Source organism: Homo sapiens, chromosome 3 (assembly GCF_000001405.40).
Source record: "Homo sapiens chromosome 3, GRCh38.p14 Primary Assembly".
NCBI lineage: Eukaryota > Metazoa > Chordata > Mammalia > Primates > Hominidae > Homo > Homo sapiens.
In genome coordinates this window covers 129,331,988-129,350,523 of record NC_000003.12, presented here as the reverse complement: position 1 = coordinate 129,350,523, position 18,536 = coordinate 129,331,988, and the positions used below count along the sequence as shown (strand labels likewise).

Here is an 18,536-nt window from a genome sequence, read left to right as displayed (position 1 = left end):
CATACCTACCTCAGGTCATTGTTCATTTATTTAACAAATATTTATTGAGTATCTACTATGTGCCAGGAATTGTCCTAGGCACTAGGGACACATCAGAGAACAAAACAAAAATTCCTGCCCCCCAGGCCAGGGGTGGTGGCTCACACCTGTAATCTTAGCACTTTGGGAGGCCAAGATAAGAGGAACACTTAAGGCTGGGAGTTCAAGGCTACAGTGAGCTATGATCATATCACTGCACTCCAGCCTGGGTGACAGAGACCCTGTCTCAAAACAAAAAAAAAATTATTGCCCCTTTTCAGCTCATGTTCTAGTGGGGATACTGGAGGGGCAAGAGGAAGAGCAATAAGATATGAGGTCAGAGAGGTGACAGTGACACATTGTGCAGGGTCTGTGCCCACCCTGAGGACCCTGGTTGTCACCTGGGTGAGGTGGGTGCTGTGGGAGGGTGCTGAGCAGAGGAGGGGCCAGGGCTGACAGGCAGAGCAGGGAGACCGTTCATAATGCTACAACCAGGGGAAAGCTGGTGGTGCCGGGGCCAGGTGGGGCAATGGACGGCTGGAGGGGCAGATTCCGAAGGGGTCCACCAGGTTTCGCTGATGGCTGACAGGGTTGTGGAGACAGACAGCAAAGTGGGGACTTTCCGGGCGGCATCTCACAAGAAGACGTTCACACGTTGGGAGCAGAGACCACTGCCCTGGCTTGGAGCTGCAGGAGGCAGGCTAAGCTCACGTGGATGCCGAGGCCTGAGGCTGGATCCCCAACCTTGATGCCACCCCCGCCCCAGCTCACCTAGAACCCCCTCACCATCCCCAGCACCTTAGCCTCAGTTTCCAAACAGGGTGAAGGGCCGGCGATGGTTCCCCTGAGGCCCTCGGCTGTCCCTGCTGTCTATGCGCCTCCTGCTCTCAGGCCTGGGAGCTGTGATTTACTCTCCTGACCTCCAGGCAGCCCGGCTCCTGCTGATAAATGCACTGAAAAGTCCATCTTTTCCACCTCCAGCCCTGCTGGGAGTGCCCAGGTGCCGTCACCTGGGAACAGCTGATGACGCGAGCTAAGAAGTTCAGAGTTGCTTTTGCTTTACAAAGCGCATAGGAACACATTGTGCTAAGAACGTGCCGGAAGCCTCAAGGTCACTAAAGATCCCCATTTACCAGACCGGAAACAAAGGAGCAGGGGAAGGAAGCACACACGTGGGGCTTCGTGGGCTGGAACTGCATGACCTCGGCAAGTCACTTCCCTCCCAGAGCCACTCTTTCCCAGGTTAGCTGGAGACAGCCACAACCTACAGGTAGGCGTGGTAGGAATTAAAGACAGCAGGCACCAAATGTGTGCTTAATGGGAGACATTATAGTAACTATTTTATTAATCTTAGATTAAACTACTTCTTGCAACTTTGAAAAGAAACCAAAATCTTATTTTAGCTTGCAAAGGCTTTAACATCTTAAGATTTTTTTGAAATCTTTAAAAACCTTACCAAATCCCTTTGCTGGGCCTGCAAGGAGTGGCGGGATCTGGCCCTACTCACTTCCCCTTTCTCAGCTCCTTCCTCTCACCCCTGCCCTCTGTGCTCCAGCCTTGCTGACCTCTTAGCTCTCCAAACAAGGAAACTTATGCTCACCTCAGGGCCTTTGCACATGCTGTTCCCACTGCTAGAAACACTGTTCCCTCCACTCCGTACTGACAAGCTCCCTCCCGCACCTCCTTCAGGGCTCAATGTAAATGCTACTTCCTTGGCAAGGCCTTCCACACTGCTCCACCTTAGTTTAGTCTATCTCCTCTGTTTTCTCCTCCTGGCACTTAGGATGATCTCTGATCGGTCTGAGAACTCCGCAACAGCATCTGTCTGTCTTTTCACCACTAGAGCCCGGCCTGGTGTCTGCCACACAGTACAGACTATGGAACGAATAAATAAGACTATGACATGGGCTGGCACCACTGGCATACACACACACACTCTCATACACACCCTCACACAGTTGGCACAGCACAGAACAGAGTAACATCAAATCCTGACTGCCTGGGTTCAAATCTCACCTTTGCCCTAAACAGCATTTGGATGAGTTACCCGCAAATTTGAAAGCTGTGATGTTGTTTTGGTTTGTCAAGGTCTTAGTATCATGATGTTCTCTAACAACCGCATGCCCTTTGCTGTACACATGAGACTACGATGACAGGGCCTGGCTTATAACGACTACTGTGTAAATGTCACTGTTCGTGAGGTCATCAGTGTTACGATCACCCCAGGCACTCAGAGATTGCTCAGCCTTCAAATGCTTGTTGAGTGTACAAGGGTCCAGGCAGTATTGACACCTGAGGGACCCTCATCCCCAAAGTGGATTTTAAAGACAGCAGCACACTGGGGAGACGAGAGACCTCACACAACACTCCCACCCTCTCCCCCAGCCCGCCTCTTGCTTCCTGGTCCTGTTCTCTTGGGGAGAAGGAGAATCTTATCTGGCTGGTCAAACTCCAGGACCATCCCTGGCCACCATCAGTAATGGGCAGGGTCATCGCATGTTCAAGGCTGTGCACACAGAGCCCTGGCCATGCATGAGGGTGAGGCCTTCTGGACCTTCCTCAGGCTCCTTAGGAACCCACAAGGAAGCTCCCTGAGGGGTGTTGATGGGGCATCTGCACCCATAGATTCACTGCCTGACACAGAAACACCAGGTTCCTGGGAAACTGGAACCTGCCTTATGAAAGCTCCCATTCCCATCACCCCCTCCATCCCTCAGGGCTGTGTTTTGCCGTCAACCCTCCCCTGACCCCCAGGACACCTGCCTTGCCCAGAAGCACCCCTTCAACATGGGCCTGGATGAAGGCTCACTCCTCTGTCAGGCCTCTGAGGGGGACCGCTTTGTGCCGCTGTTATCAAAAGGGGAAACCATCGCAGCAGAAAGGCCAGTGCCGCACTAGACAGCCAGGAGCCCAGCAGCACAAGTAGCCCCCTAAGGCGCTTTGAGGACCACACCCCCGTCACTCTGACCCCAGCACAGCCTGGTTCCTAGGACTTCGGGACCTTCCTGGGGACCTCTCAGCATGATTAACATAGGCAAATGGGACCTGAAGGGGCCACTTGTCCTTCTGAAAATGCTCACCGGGCAGTGTGAGTGTGGGGAGGCCATGCACAATGCGTAGGACTCTGCCCCTGCACCTGCTCAGAGCCTCAGCCCTTCAGAGCCACTGCTAAAGATTTGCTGCGGGTGGGGTCACTCAGATTCTTCTCTGAGGTCTCTTTTCCTTTCAGTTTTTCTGAGTAACTGAGAGGATCACATGACTGCATGCCGCCTAAATTAGAGTGTGCACAGCCCCCGTTCTGTGCAGGGAGGGCGCAAAGCAGCAGAGTGTCTGTGACCCATCTGCCACCTTTCCAATGCTACTACAAGATTTGGAAGAAACAGTCGTTTATCAGGAGTCATCTTTATTAAAAAAGATAAAATAGAGCAGGGCAGGGGAGAAGTGCTGCAGGAAATAGTCCAGGCTCTGGCGTTGCTCCAGGTAGGGTGGAGGGGCCCTCTGGTCTCCAGGAAGCTCCAGGCTGTCCTTCAGTTCACCCCTTGGGATAGGATGCCTTTGAAGCCACGGCAGTGTGGACATCTTGCCTGGCCCCTACCTGCAGCTGTTGGAGTACACGCATGACTGACCTGTCAGGTTTCAATGTTCTTGGACCTCAGGGCCTTCGTCCTCTCTAATGTAAATGCAAAAAGACATTTGACATGGACTCTCTCAGGTGTTTTGCAATGCAGTACATTCCCATTGACTCTGGTCACCCTGCTGTGCACGGGATGTCAAAACCTCCTCCTCCTGTCCATCTGAGATTTTGGTCCTTTGATGGACAACCCCCCATTTCCTCCCCGTGCCACTCCCCGGCTCCTGTCACCATCGATCTACTCACGACTTCTGTGAGGTCAACTTTTTCTGATCAACATTTCTGTGACATCATGTGGAACTGGTCTTTCTGAGGTGGTGGAGATGCTAAGTAGCATGATTTCCTCATTCCACGGTGCACACATCTATCTAATCATCACATTCTACCCCATAAATGAATACGAGCATGATTTGCCAATTAAAACAATACTAATAAAAACATAATAAATAAAATGCAGGAAGTGCGGCTTGACCACCCTACCTACTTGATTTTTGTCTTCACCACAGCCATTCAACTACTTTGTTGGGGTGATCTTATTTGTAAGAGTTTTCTGTGCTGGGCACAAGCAACACATTTGTAGAAGAAATGAAAGGCATATTCTGGCAGCCCTGTGGCAGCCCCAGGTTCTTGTGGATGAGGCTGACTTCACAGCCTCTGGCTGCCCAGTTTGGAGGAATCTGGCTTCCTGCAGTGGTTGTCGCTGGGCCAGGGTTTTTTCTGGGTCTCTTCCACTACTGCTGGTGCTCTGGGTAGAGGAGGAGCCCACAGGGTCATGCTGGGGTTTTCACTAAAACTGTCTGGCTTCCTCTACAGGATGGCAAGTGCACTGGCAGGAATGGTGGTCTTCTGCCCTGACTTCTGGCCGTTCTCCGACAGCTGAATATTGAATATGGGACAAATTGGCTCGCTGTGAGCCTGCTCCAGTGGGAGAGGGAAGGTGGAAACTTCAGCAGATGGAGAAGGAGAGGTGGGAACTCCAGGAAGAAGAGACAGTTTTCTGATGGTAGAGTGCTTCCTTTTTGTTTTGTGTGCTCTAAAATGAGGTAGGTGGCCATGGGATAGTTGAATGTTTTTTTTTTTTTTTGGCACTGAGATGTTCTCAGCCTTGAATCCCATGGCCACCGTGAGCTGAGTTGTTGGAGTTCGGGTGGTCCAGGAGTGGCTCTTTGTACGATATCAATGAGATCTCTGGCCACTGTTCACCCACGGGCCCCTCATCAGTTGTTCCAGTAGGGATCGCTCCCTAACGTTTAGCATTAAGTACTTTTTAATAAATCTTTCAATTTGAAGAGGGAAAAAATGGTGGGGAATAGTATTGTCCTGTGATAATTTTTTTCCTCAGGTCCACCAGGTTCCCTGAGTAGAAGGTCAGGGCCCCGGCCACCATGGAATAGAGAATGACATGGAGGTTCCATACGTCCATCACAGGGCACTGATACACCTGGCCCAGGGAGAGTTCTGGGGCAGGAATTGTGGCTTTCTGCCCTGACTTCTGACTCTCCTTGGGCAGCCAAAACTTAAAAGTGTGAACAGCCGGCTCCCTTTGAGCTGTCTTTGGTTCCACAAGGAAGATGGACTTTGTCGGATGGGGAAGAGCAGGAGGGACACCCAGAAGGAAGGAACTGTGCTTAAATGACGGAGCCCTTCCTCCTCTGCACTTTTCCTGTACCCCAGGATTACGTAGGTGGCCATGGGATAATCAGATACTTATTTTTTGTAGGGTGGGGGAAATACTGATTCCGAGATGTGTGCTGCCTGGCATCCCATGGCCACCATGACCAGGGTTGTAGGGGGCCCAGGTGCCCAGGGTCTCTGGTGTCAGCAGCGTCTCCTGGCCAGCAATTGACCCAGGGGTCCCACATCAGCTGGTTTAGTGGGGGCCGCTCCCTGGAGTCGAGGGTGAGGAATTGTTTTACCAGTGTTTCCAGTGGAAGTGAAGAAATAGGTGGGGAGTCATATAGCCTGAGGTGGGAAGGGACCACGGGTAGGGCTGGATGTTCTTTCAGCCTCCCTGGCAGAGATCACAGATAAGAGTGGTCAGCTTGGCCAAGATTCTGTGGTGGCTGGCTGTGATGTGGGGGAGGGAGGCAGTCCCCAGAGCAGGAATGCCTTCCCAGGAGCCCCTGTCCTTGCAGGGGAGGAGCCGGCCATCCTCCCCTCAGAGCCTCCTTCACTGCAGCCCGTAGGGGGCGGGGGCGAGTGACCTGGAGGATCCCTGCCCCAGGGGCAAACCTCTGGGCTCTGGCTTCAGCCCCACCCCCGGGAAACATTCACAGCCCCTCCGGAGGACAGCCCTGCTGCAGGAAGACTCTAGGGCAGGCCCAGCTGCGAGGGTCCTGGGCTGTTGGTGACAGTACCCCAGGCTTCAAACTCTCCGGGCCTGGGGGCAATTCCTTTCCCTGGGTACAACAGATTCCCACCCCGCCCTGCCCTTCTGCTCACCCCACGGGGAAGTGGCCCAGGAGTGGAGGCGTGGACAGGCATCCCAATGTCTCGAGTCAGGGTCAGCGTGGACAGCATGGCCCCCGAGGGGCAGACAGGGTGCAAGGGTAAGGTGCCAGGCTCCAGGGCAGCCCCTGACAGGCGGTCTGGCGGCCTCGGGTCTCCGTGGAGACGGGGCTTCCAACGGCCATCGGCCCCGCCCAACCTGGGCAAAGAGACCCAGCCTGGGCTGGGAGGCCGAGACAGGGACCCCCCACCCCCACCTGCAGCAGAGCCTGACCCCTGCGGGCGGCCGGGGCCGTCTCCCTCCAGGCGCTGCTGCGCCCACACGGGCGGGCGCCCTCTGCAGGTCCCGCAGCTCCTGGTCCCGCTCAGCGCCTCCAGATGCCTCACCCGGGCCCTCTCCGTTGGGTCCCCGGGGCCTCAAAGCGCTGGCCAAGCAGCGAGGTCACTCCCCTGAGCCACCTGTCCTTCCCATGGGTCCTTTGGACCCCTGGGTTTTAGAGTTTGTCTTTCCTAAGTGCCGCCTGCCCGAACGCGGCTGCCCCAGGACTGCGGCTGTCCCAGGATCACAGCCAACCCAGTGCGGCTGCCTCCCCTGCAGGCCACCCATCAAGGGCACAGGCAACAGGAACTCCAAGACGCAGCGGCCCGCCCTGCTCGGGGCTGACCCTCAGAATGGGAGAGGCCACGAACTCGGGTCCTCTCCCCTTCCTCAAGGCTCCTTTCTCACCTGGGGTGAAGGGCTCCCAATCCCAGTACCTCAGGGACCTTCCTGTTTCATTTATACCAACAAATAATCATTTGATGTTCTGGGACAGACAAGACAGACACGCTGGCCCCCAGTGGGCGAGAGAGACTAGTCTATCAGCACAGAAAATTCCCAATAGGGACAGGGGCTAGGAAGGAAACACCAGGAAAAGTGAGGGTGGAAGACGGGGGTGACCCTACTGCAGATGGGGTGCTCAGGGAGGGTTTCTCTGAGGAGGTGACATTAACTAGACTGACAAAAGGGACGGGCAGGGCCTGTGAAAGTCTTCTAAGAGAGGGAACGGCAATGCCCAGTGGGCTGTCCTAGGGAAGGAAATAGGACAGCAAGGTGGTGGGGGGGGGATGTGAGCCTGGCAGGCGGGACCCAGACACCATGTGATGGGTGCAGGGGTGGGACCCACAGAGGCTCTGAGAAAGCCCTGGGCCTCAGAACACGGGGAAACAGGAGGACCCACTTAGAGGCCTTCACAACCTTCTAGGGTACAGACAGTGCAAAATGGCTTAGGCCAGAATGTGGTTTAGGTTTCAGAAGGGTGCTGGGTCCCCCACGCTCTTCTTGAGGCTAAAGGGCTCCAGCTCCTTAGGCCATTTCCACATGGTTCTGGGGCCCCACAGACAGCCTTCTGACGGTTTTCTTCTGTGGCCAGGCAGGGGTTGTGGGGCGACCCGCCCCTCACTTGTCCAAGTGGACAGATGAAGGGAGCCTCTAGGAGCAGGATCGCTGGATTGGGAATTAGACTTGGAGCGTAATCCAAATGCCCCACGGGCCCTGCCTCTTTTCTGGAGCTCAGCTTCTTCAAGAAAACTGGGGACAAGAGATGGCAAGACTAGCTCTCAGGACCCTTGCCCCTCCACCCCATGATACTTTCAGATGGTTCTCAGGGGCCACCTTTTTCAGGAAGAATCGGGCTACAGGAAAGTAAAGGGAGGAAACGTGTTTTGAGTGGCACTTAAGTCAGGCTCTAGACTAGGTGTTGGTTTGGTGGGGCTTGCTTTTCCTCCTGCCCCAGCCCGCTTCACAAAACCTGAGTCCTGGCTAGGCTGGGAGTGAGATTCCTGTTTCTAGATTTTCATCATTCTGTGTAGCACAAAACAAGGTCGGGGGGGAAAGGAGACAGATATTAGCAAGTATATAAAAGATAATTGGCTGGGCATGGTGGCTCACGCCTGTAATCCCAACACTTTGGGAGGCAGAGGCGGGCAAATCACCTGAGGTCAGAGGCGGGCGAATCACCTGAGGTCAGGAGTTTGAGTCCAGCCTGGCCCGTATGGTGAAATCCTGTCTCTACCAAAAATACAAAAATTAGCCCGGCATGGTGGTGCATGCCTGTATTCCCAGCTACTTGGGAGGCTGAGGCAAGAGAATGGCTTGAGCCCAGGAGGTGGAGTTTGCAGTGAGCTGATATTGCACCACTGCACTTCAGCCTGGGGGACAGAATGAGATTCCATCTCAAAAAAAAAAAAAAAAAAAAAGATAATTTAGCCAGAGAAAACCTAAAAGAGGAATCAGGATGGGGGGATTAGGAATGGCAGAGTAAGAGCTGGGGGAGAGGAAGTTAGGGAAGGGGCTGGAACAAACAGAAAGGAGGTGGGGGAGGGGACCAGGGAAATAAAGTCCAAGAGGTCAGCAGGGATCAGAAGCCACAGGCTTAGTGGGGGCCTCAGGAGAGCAGCAAGCTGCGTCTATCTTGGAAAAGTGGAGAGAGGACTGCAGTGACCTCAGCGGGGAGGAAATGGGAGGTAGCAGGGCAGAGGAAGCAGCGGACAGACAGGAGGAAGAGATGGTGCCCTGGGTCAGGTGGCGGCCACCGCTACCATCACCAGAAGTAGAAAACTCTGTGTTCTCCTTACCTCTGTCACCATGACACCCCCATGCTTTCTGCCCCCACCTTCTTTAGTAATAGATGCTGGCAACTAAGGAGCAGAATCTGATTTGAGGTTGCCGAGGAAACCATCAGGGGCAGCTGTGAACCCACCAGCCTTGCCCAGTAGGGAGCTCAGGATCCCTAAATTGGATGAGCAAATAAGCTTCTGCAGGCCTTGCTGTCCAGGCAAATAAGACGAGGGCAGGGCCATGTGGTGGAGGTGGGTCTCAAACAGGACTCCCAAGGGCACAGGCCCTGCCCAGCCTTGGCACCCAAGGCAGAGCTCGTCAGCCCTGGGCCCCTGTGGGCTGCTGTGGCCACCTCCCTTCAGGCAGTGCTGCCCCCACAGGGACAGGTGACCTCTGCGGGCCTCTCATTTTCCAGTGGTGCTCAGTGTATCCAGATGCCTCATGCAGGCCCTCTCTGCTGGGTACCCAGGGGCCTCAAAGCGCTGGCCCCACCACCAGGACACTCCTTTGAGCCTCCCGACCTTCTCATGGGTCCTTTGGAGCCTGGGTTTTGGAGTTTGTCCTTCCTAAAGTGCTGCCCACCTGAACGCAGCTGCCCCAGGACCACCGCTGACCAAATGCGGCCACGTCCCCTGCAGGCCACCCATCAAGGGCACAGGTGACAGGTGCCCCCAAGGGGCCGTGGCCTGTCCTGCCCAGGGCTGACCCCTCGGGGTAGGGAGAGGGCACTAACTCAGGTCGTCTACCTGCCTCAAGGCTCTTTCCTCACCTGGGGTGAAGGGCTCCCAATCCTTGCACCTCAGGGGTCTTCCTGTTTTACTGATGCCAACAAAAGAACATTGACCATCTCCCGTGTGCAGGGACAGAGAAGACAGACACGTTGGCCCTGGGTGGGTGAAGGAGACTAGTCTATCAGAGTGAAAACTCCCCATGGAGATAGGGGCTAAGAAGGAAACACCAGCCCTCTCCCTCTCCCTCTCCCTCTCCCTCTCCCTCTCCCACGGTCTCCCTCTCCCACGGTCTCCCTCTCCCTCTCTTTCCACGGTCTCCCTCTGATGCCGAGCAGAAGCTGGACTGTACTGCTGCCATCTCGGCTCACTGCAACCTCCCTGCCTGATTCTCCTGCCTCAGCCTGCAGAGTGCCTGCAATTGCAGGCGCGCGCCGCCATGCCTGACTGGTTTTCGTATTTTTTTGGTGGAGACGGGGTTTCGCTGTGTTGGCCGGGCTGGTCTCCAGCTCCTAACCGCGAGTGATCCGCCAGCCTCGGCCTCCTGAGGTGCCGGGATTGCAGACGGAGTCTGGTTCACTCAGTGCTCAATGGTGCCCAGGCTGGAGTGCAGTGGCGTGATCTCAGCTCGCTACAACCTCCACCTCCCAGCTACCTGCCTTGGCCTCCCAAAGTGCCGAGATTGCAGCCTCTGCCCGGCCGCCACCCCGTCTGGGAAGTGAGGAGCGTCTCTACCTGGCCGCCCATCGTCTGGGATGTGAGGAGCCCCTCTCCCTGGCTGCCCAGTCTGGAAAGTGAGGAGCGTCTCTGCCCGGCCGCCATCCCATCTAGGCAGTGAGGAGCGCCTCTTCCCAGCCGCCATCACATCTAGAAAGTGAGGAGCCTCTCTGCCCAGCCGCCCATCTCTGAGATGTGGGGAGCGCCTCTGCCCCGCCGCCCCGTCTGGGATGTGAGGAGTGCCTCTACCCGGCCGCGACCCCGTCTGGGAGGTGAGGAGCGTCTCTGCCCGGCGGCCCCGTCTGAGAAGTGAGGAGCCCCTCTGCCCGGCAGCCGCCCCATCTGAGAAGTGAGGAGCCCCTCCGCCCGGCAGCCACCCCGTCTGGGAAGTGAGGAGCGTCTCCGCCCAGCAGCCACCCGTCCGGGAGGGAGGTGGGGGTCAGCCCCCGCCAGGCCAGCCGCCCCATCCGGGAGGGAGGTGGAGGGGGTCAGCCCCCCGCCCTGCCAGCCGCCCCGTCCGGGAGGGAGGTGGGGGGAACAGCCCCCCGCCCGGCCAGCCGCCCTGTCCGGGAGGTGAGGGGCGCCTCTGCCCGACCGCCCCTACTGGGAAGTGAGGAGCCCCTCTGCCTGGCCAGCCGCCCCGTCCGGGACGGAGGTGGGGGGGGTCAGCCCCCCGCCCGGCCAGCCACCCTGTCCGGGAGGTGAGGGGTGCCTCTGCCCGGCCGTCCCTACTGGGAAGTGAGGAGCCCCTCTGCCCGGCCAGCCGCCCGTCCGGGAGGGAGGTGGGGGGGTCAGCCCCCCACCCGGCCAGCCGCCCCGTCCGGGAGGGAGGTGGGGGGATCAGCCCCCCGCCCGGCCAGCCGCCCCGTCCGGGAGGGAGGTGGGGGGGTCAGCCCCCCGCCCGGCCAGCCGCCCCGTCCGGGACGTGAGGGGCGCCTCTGCCCGACCGCCCCTACTGGGAAGTGAGGAGCCCCTCTGCCTGGCCAGCCGCCCCGTCCGGGACGGAGGTGGGGGGGTCAGCCCCCCGCCCGGCCAGCCACCCCGTCCGGGAGGTGAGGGGTGCCTCTGCCCGGCCGTCCCTACTGGGAAGTGAGGAGCCCCTCTGCCCGGCCAGCCGCCCGTCCGGGAGGGAGGTGGGGGGGTCAGCCCCCCACCCGGCCAGCCGCCCCGTCCGGGAGGGAGGTGGGGGGATCAGCCCCCCGCCCGGCCAGCCGCCCCGTCCGGGAGGGAGGTGGGGGGGTCAGCCCCCCGCCCGGCCAGCCGCCCCGTCCGGGAGGGAGGTGGGAGGGGTCAGCCCCCCGCCCAGCCAGCCGCCCCGCCCGGGAGGTGAGGGGCGCCTCTGCCCGGCCGCCCCTACTGGGAAGTGAGGAGCCCCTCTGCCCGGCCACCACCCCGTCTGGGAGGTGTACCCAACAGCTCATTGAGAACGGGCCATGATGACAATGGCGGTTTTGTGGAATAGAAAGGGGGGAAAGGTGGGGAAAAGATTGAGAAATCGGATGTTTGCCGTGTCTGTGTAGAAAGAGGTAGACATGGGAGACTTTTCATTTTGTTCTGTACTAAGAAAAATTATTATCCTGTTGATCTGTGACCTTACCCCCAACCCCGTGCTCTCTGAAACATGTGCTGTGTCCACTCAGGGTTAAATGGATTAAGGGCGGTGCAAGATGTGCTTTGTTAAACAGATGCTTGAAGGCAGCATGCTCGTTAAGAGTCATCACCACTCCCTAATCTCAAGTACCCAGGGACACAAACACTGTGGAAGGCCGCAGGGTCCTCTGCCTAGGAAAACCAGAGACCTTTGTTCACTTGTTTATCTGCTGACCTTCCCTCCACTATTGTCCTATGACCCTGCCAAATCCCCCTCTGCGAGAAACACCCAAGAATGATCAATAAAAAAATAAAATAAAATAAAATAAAATAAAAAAAGAAGGAAACACCAGGAAAAGTGAAGGTGGAAGATGGAGGTGACCCTACTGCAGATGGGGTGCTCAGGGAGGGTTTCTCTGAGGAGGTGACATTCACTTGATTGGTGTATTAGTCTGTTTCACGCAGCTGTTAAAAATATATCTGAGACTGGGAAGAAAAAGAGGTTTAATTGGACTTATAATTCCACATGGCTGGGGAGGCCTCAGAATCATGGCAGGAGGTAAAAGGTACTTCTTACGTGGCAGCAATAGGAGAAAATGAGAAAGAAGCAAAAGCGGAAACCCCTGATAAACCCATCAGATCTCATGAGACTATCATGAGAATAGCACAGGGAAGACTGGCCCCATGATTCAATTACCTCCCCCTGAGTCCCTCCCACAACATGTGGGAATTCTGGGAGATACAATCCAAGTTGAGATTTGGGTGGGGACACAGCCAAATGATATCAATTGGCAAAAGGGACGGGCAGGGCCTATGAAAGTCTTCTAAGAGAGAGAACAGCAGTGCCTAGCACGGTGTCCCCTATGTCCATCCACAGGGATGGAAATAGGACAGTGAGTGGGGGTGGGGGGTGTGAGCCAGGCAGGCAGGGCCCAGACACCGTGTGATGGGTGCAGGGGTGGGACCCACGGAGGCTCTGAGAAAGGCCTGGGCCTCAGAAGACAAGGAAACAGGAAGACCCACTTACAGGCCTTCACAACTTTCTAGGGCACAGACAGTGCAAAATGGCTCAGGCCAGAATGTGGTTTAGGTTTCAGAAGGGTGCTGGGTCCCTCATGCTCTTCTTGAGGCTAAAGGGCTCCAGCTCCTTGGGCCCTTTCCAAGCAGACATTGTTCTGGGGCCCCGGCTACATGGATGGCCTTCTGATGGTTGTTGTCTGCATCCAGGCAGGGGGCATGAGCTGACCTGCTCCTTCCTTGGCCAAGTGGACAGATGAAGGAAGCCTCTGCGGGAAGGATTGTTGGACTGGGAATTAGACTTGGAGTGTAATCCAAATGCCCCACGGGCCCTGTCTCTTCTCTGGAGCTCGGCTTCATGTAAACTGGGGGACAAGGGATGGCAAGACCAGCTCGCAGGACCCTTGCCCCTCCACCCTGTGATGCTTCCAAATGGTCTCAGGGGCCACCTTTTTCAGGAAGAATTCTCTGGTTATTGAATAAAGGAAGGAGACCAGGCACAATGGCTCACGCCTGTAATCCCAGCACTTTGGGAGGCTGATGCGGGCAGCTCTCTTGAGGTTGGAAGTTCGAGACCAGCCTGGCCAACATGGTGAAACCCCATCTCTACCAAAAATTCAAAAAAACAAAATTAGCCAGGCATGGTGGTGGGCACCTGTAATTCCAGCTACTGGGAGGCTGAGGGAGAATTTCTTGAACTCGGGAGGCAGAGGTTGCAGTGAGCCAAGGTTGCGGCACTGCACTCCAGCCTGTGTGATAGAGCAAGACACTGTCTCAAAAAAAAAAAAAAAAAGAATAAAGGAAGGAAACACATTTTGAGTGGCACTTATATCAGGCTCTAGACTAGGTGTTGATTTGGTGGGGCTTGCTTTTGGTTTTTGTTGTTGTTGTTGCTGTTTTCTCCCTTTCACAAAACCTGAGTCCTATCTAGGGCCAGGAGTTAGATTCCAATTTCTAGATTTTCATAATTCTATGTTGCACAAGACAGACATCCAGGAGACCGAGGGATAGATTATTAGCAAGTGAATAAAAGATGATTTAGCTAGAGAAAATGTAGCAAAAAGGAATCAGGATGAGGGGATTAGGAATGGCAGAGGGGGAATTGGGGAGGAGGGAGTTGGAGGTGGGGCTGGGACAAACAGAAAGGAGGTGGGGGAAAAGGCCAGGGAAATCAAGTCCCAGAGTTCAGCGGGGACCAGAAACCACAGTCTTAGCAGGGCCTCAGGAGAGCAGCAAGCTGTGTTTACCTTGGAAGGGTGGAGAGAGGACTGCAGGGAGCTGAGTGGGGAGGAAGGGGGAGGCGGCAGCACAGAGGAAGCAGGGGACAGACAGGAGGAAGAGATGGTGCCCTGGGCCAGGTGGGGTGGAGGGGCCCTCTGTTCTTCAGGAGGCTCCAGGCTGTCCTTCAGCTCACTTGTAGCTTTGGATAGGCCTTTGAAGGCTACAGGGCTGCCAGATGCCCTCTTGACTTTTGAATCCTGTTCATTGACCCTGGTAGCAGCTTGGACACCTCCGTCCTCTGCTGAATGCCTCTGGGCCAGGTGTATTGGGCACATGGCAGCGTCGTCATCTTGCCCGGTTCTCACCCACAGCTGTTGGAGTCTACACATGGTCAATTTGTCCCAAGGTTTTTAATGTTCTTGAACCTCAGGGCCTTTGTTTTCTCCATTCTGAATGCCAGGATTCGACATGGACTCTCTCAGGTGTTTTGCCATAGGCAATACATTCCCATTGACTCTGGTTACCCTACGGTGCACTAGATGTCAAAACCTCTTCATCCTTTCCAACTGAGACTTTGGTCCTTTGACCAACAACCCCCCCATTTCTTCCCTCTGCCACCCCTCTACACATCTGCTCCTCAGCCCCTGTTCACCATCAATCTACTCGCTACTTCTATGAGGTCAGCTTTTTTAGATGAACACTTCAGGGACATCACACGGAATTTGTCTTTCTGAGGTGATGGAGATGCTAAGTAGTGTGATTTTGTCATTCCAATGTGCACACATCCATCTAATCCTCACACTGTATCTCATAAATGAATGCAAGCATGATTTGCCAATTAAAATAATATTAAGAAGAACATAATAAATGTAATAAAACACAGGAAGTGTAGCTCGACTGCCCCACCCACTTGGTTTTTGTCTCGGCCCAGCTGTCCATTGGGTTCACTGGTGCTGCCTTATTTCTCCCTTTGACTTTTTTGTGCTAGTCAGAAACAACATAATTGCAGCATGAAACTGAAACATCTTTTGCCAATGGCATCCGTGGCTCCTTTTGGTCACAGAGATTGAGGTTACACCATCTGGCTTCCCGGGGGTTCCCTCCGACCAAGTCACCTCTTCTGGGTCTTCCACATGGAGTGAGCCAACTTCCCAGTGGGTTCCCTGAGACAAGTCTCCTTGGGGGTTCCCCCATAGCTGCTGGTGCTCTGGGGAGGGTGAAGTCACAGGCTTATGCTGGGGGCTTTGCTGGGAATGGCTGGCTTCATCTCCAGGCCAGGTAGGGTTTGCCCTGACTCCCAGGGATGCTCCTGTTCGTGCTTCTGTGAATTAGAAAGTGGGAAAGGTCGGCTGGTTTTGAGTCCTCCTCTCGGTTGGACAGGGAAGGTTGACTTAAATGTGGCAGATGGGGAAGGACAGGTGGGGCCCCCAGGAAGGAGGGATTGTGCTCCGATGTTGGAACCCTTTCTCCTCTGCACTTTTCTGAACTCCCTGATTAGGTAGGTGGCCATGGGATGACTTCTTTTTTTTTTTTTTAATATCGCTTCCTCGATATGCTCTGCCTAGAATCCCCTGGCCACTATGAGCTGGGTTGTTGTGGGGCCTGGGAGGTCCAGGAGTGGCTCTCTGTATGGCTTGAACCATGTCTTCTGGTCGCTATTGACTCAGGAGTCCCTCAACAGCTGGTCCAGTGGAAGCTGCTCCCTGGGGTTGAGTGTGAAGAATTTTTAAATATTTTTTTCCATTAAAATAAAAAAAAAAGTAGCAGTACTATTTTAAGTTTTGTTTTTTTTTTTTTCTGTATATCCTTACAGTTCTGCTCATAAAATGGCAGGTCCCCAGCCACCATTTTGCATACGATGATGCCAAGGCTCCAAACATTGATGGCAGGTCATTGGTACCCATCCATGGCCCAGGAAGAGTTCTGGGCCTGCGTAAGGGCGAGTCCCATTAAACGTTCTCAGTCTCTCTTTGCAAATGTTGAACTAAACCCAAAGTCGGCTATTTTGATGTTACGTTCTTTGTCAAAAAAGATATTAAGGTTTGTTCTAACCCCAGGAGAGCTCTTCCCAGCTGTCTCTTTTTCCATTTCTCTCTTGCAGACTTGCCGGCCTCCAGTGTAGCCCACACCTCCTGGACTCTCCGTCGCCTCCCAGTTGCCTTTCAGCACAACCTCCACTGTTCTGGAGAGTGCGCTTAGGCTTGGACTTCTCCGAGCTCCATTGCACATGAAGTCAGTTTCTTCAAAAGCTACTCACACCTTCTGTTTTCTGCCTGCTGCTTTCCCAGGCAAACTCTCTGAGCCAGAGCTATGGTGCTGGACACAGTGGTGCATCTCTCTCTGGTGACACCTGCACATCAGGAGCTGGGTGCTTGGTGAATGGGGCAGTAGCCCCAGTGTTCATCGGCTGTCCTCTCTTAGCAGGGAACCCCACCCCATGAGCCAGGGAAGGGCGGCCGGGCCCCAGTATTCTCATGGGTGCTGCACTCAAGGCAGAGCCTCCATCCCATGAGTGGGGCCTGTGTGGAAGACAAGAGCCTCCACCTCTCAACCCACTTTCCTGGGCTGAGCAAGCGGTCTCAGCAAGCGGTAGCTGGTGGCATGATAAGAAAAGATAACATTCTGCCCCTCTTAGCAAGCAAATCTCCCAGGCAGGAGCTAGGGGGTGAGGGAGTCCTGTGATCTTGGAGAAAGCAGTCTGGAGTGGAGCCCCCCTCACTGGGGTGGGGAGTCAGGGAGGACGGGCATCTTATTTCACACACTGCAGGCCCTTGGTGTTCTTCCCAGGTGTTAGTAGGTTTTCTTAATAAACGCTTCTTCATTTGCTGTGTGCCCTTGGAATCATCCCAGAGATTTTATTTTAGTTTTTATTTATTTATTTATTTATTTAAGACGGAATTTTGCTCTTGACACCCAGGCTGGAATGCAACGGCACGACCTTGGCTCACTGCAACCTCTGTCTCCCGGTTTCAAGCAATTCTCCTGCCTCAGTCTCCTGAGTACTGAGATTACAGGCACCCACCACCACGTTCAGCTAATTTTTATATTTTTAGTAGAGATGGGGTTTCACCATGTTGGCCAGGCTGGTCTCGAACTCCTGATCTCAAATGAGATCTCTGGACCTCATCATCCCAGAGATTTTCAATGGCTGTGTATTTCATGACTTCTGCCACCTTCACTGAGGCAGTCCAGGTTGGAGTGCAGTGGAGCAATCTCCACTCACTGCAAGCTCCGCCTCCTGGGTTCGCGCCATTCTCCTGCCTCAGCCTCCTGAGTAGCTGGGACTACAGGAGCCCACCACCATGCCCGGCTAATTTTTTGTATTTTTAGTACAGACAGGGTTTCATGATGTTAGCCAGGATGGTCTCGATCTCCTGACCTCGTGATCTGCCCACCTCGGCCTCCCAAAGTGCTGGGATTACAGGCGTGAGCCACCACACCCGGCCTGCTTTTTTTTTTTTTTTTTTAAAGAGACAAGAATCTTGCTATGTTGCCCAGGCCGGTCTCAAACTCCTGGGCTCAAGCGATCCTCCCAGCTCGATCTCCCAAACATTTAAATGTTTTTAATACATTAAACAAGAATTGCATGTCTTGAGTATTGTTATAAAATTCAAATAATTATTTGATCTATAGAATAAAATATACTACCATTAGGTGACAGGTTTAGATTAACCCTTTGATTCCGAATCCCATGCACTTTCTTCCCACCTCTATCTACTTCCTGGGAGAGACTCTAAGCTTCTACTATGAGTTTGGCATCAATTGGGATTTTAATCCTGTTCCTGAGCCCCTCTGTGTGGAACACTTGCCAAGACAGAAACTGCAGGAACCCCAGAGTCCTTGCTCCTCAAACACTTTAGGATTTCAAGGAGGAGGAGTCTCCCCATTGATGCTTCATCCTTATACGTCTCCACATTCCCCAAGCCTTTTTATTACAGGAAGCCTCAGAATTAACCCTCCCCATCGTAAACACAAGGACTGCCAGGCTGGGCCTCTTTCTACAGTAAGCCCCTCACTTAGTTCTGGGAGGACTCCGAGAAACGAGGAGACTCTAGACAAACTGGGGCAATTTCCCTCCAGCTTTCTCAACTGAGGTCTACTATTCCACTTCAGATAATGTGGCCGAAAATAGGTAATTCCATTTCCATGTGCATAATCTCTCCCGTTACTTACACCAATCATGGCTTCTGGGTGGTGGAGCAACACACACTATAGAATGAAGGAGAAACAAGGGGCTTCTTCAGGGACCCAGCCTCAGGGTGGAGACGTGGCTTCCTTCCTAGGAGGAGGACACAGTAGGGTGTGCATTGCAAGGTGGAGAAAGATAAACTCAGCCACGGGGGTTGCAGGGCGATCCCCACTCGGCCTGGTAGGACCCACTAATTGAAATAGGTTCTTGTTGCTTCTGAACTCCTTTTCAAGGAAACAAGTCAAGGTGTTTGTTGAAGTAAGCATAAAATATCACATGAGGCAAAATCATGGCTTCAGAATCCCTTTGATGATGAATACTGTGTGACACAGTTTGTTTTAATAGAATCTGCTTGCTCTGTGGGTGTCAAAATTTTTC

The 18,536-nt window shown here is 54.4% G+C and overlaps 2 pseudogenes, besides 2 other annotated features; both read right to left on the bottom strand.

Annotated features, from left to right (window-relative positions):
• Window positions 2,483-2,982: an enhancer, noted in NCBI's record as "H3K4me1 hESC enhancer chr3:129066385-129066884 (GRCh37/hg19 assembly coordinates)". NCBI's record gives its function as "activates a minimal SCP1, AML or CMV promoter by ChIP-STARR-seq in naive H9 embryonic stem cells {active_cell/tissue: H9 hESC(naive)}" and the evidence as "EXISTENCE:reporter gene assay evidence [ECO:0000049][PMID:30033119]".
• On the bottom strand, window positions 4,395-5,114 carry MARK2P19 (MARK2 pseudogene 19; annotated as a pseudogene).
• Window positions 5,299-6,126: an enhancer, noted in NCBI's record as "H3K27ac-H3K4me1 hESC enhancer chr3:129063241-129064068 (GRCh37/hg19 assembly coordinates)". NCBI's record gives its function as "activates a minimal SCP1, AML or CMV promoter by ChIP-STARR-seq in naive H9 embryonic stem cells {active_cell/tissue: H9 hESC(naive)}" and the evidence as "EXISTENCE:reporter gene assay evidence [ECO:0000049][PMID:30033119]".
• Window positions 15,219-15,994, bottom strand: MARK2P3 (MARK2 pseudogene 3; annotated as a pseudogene).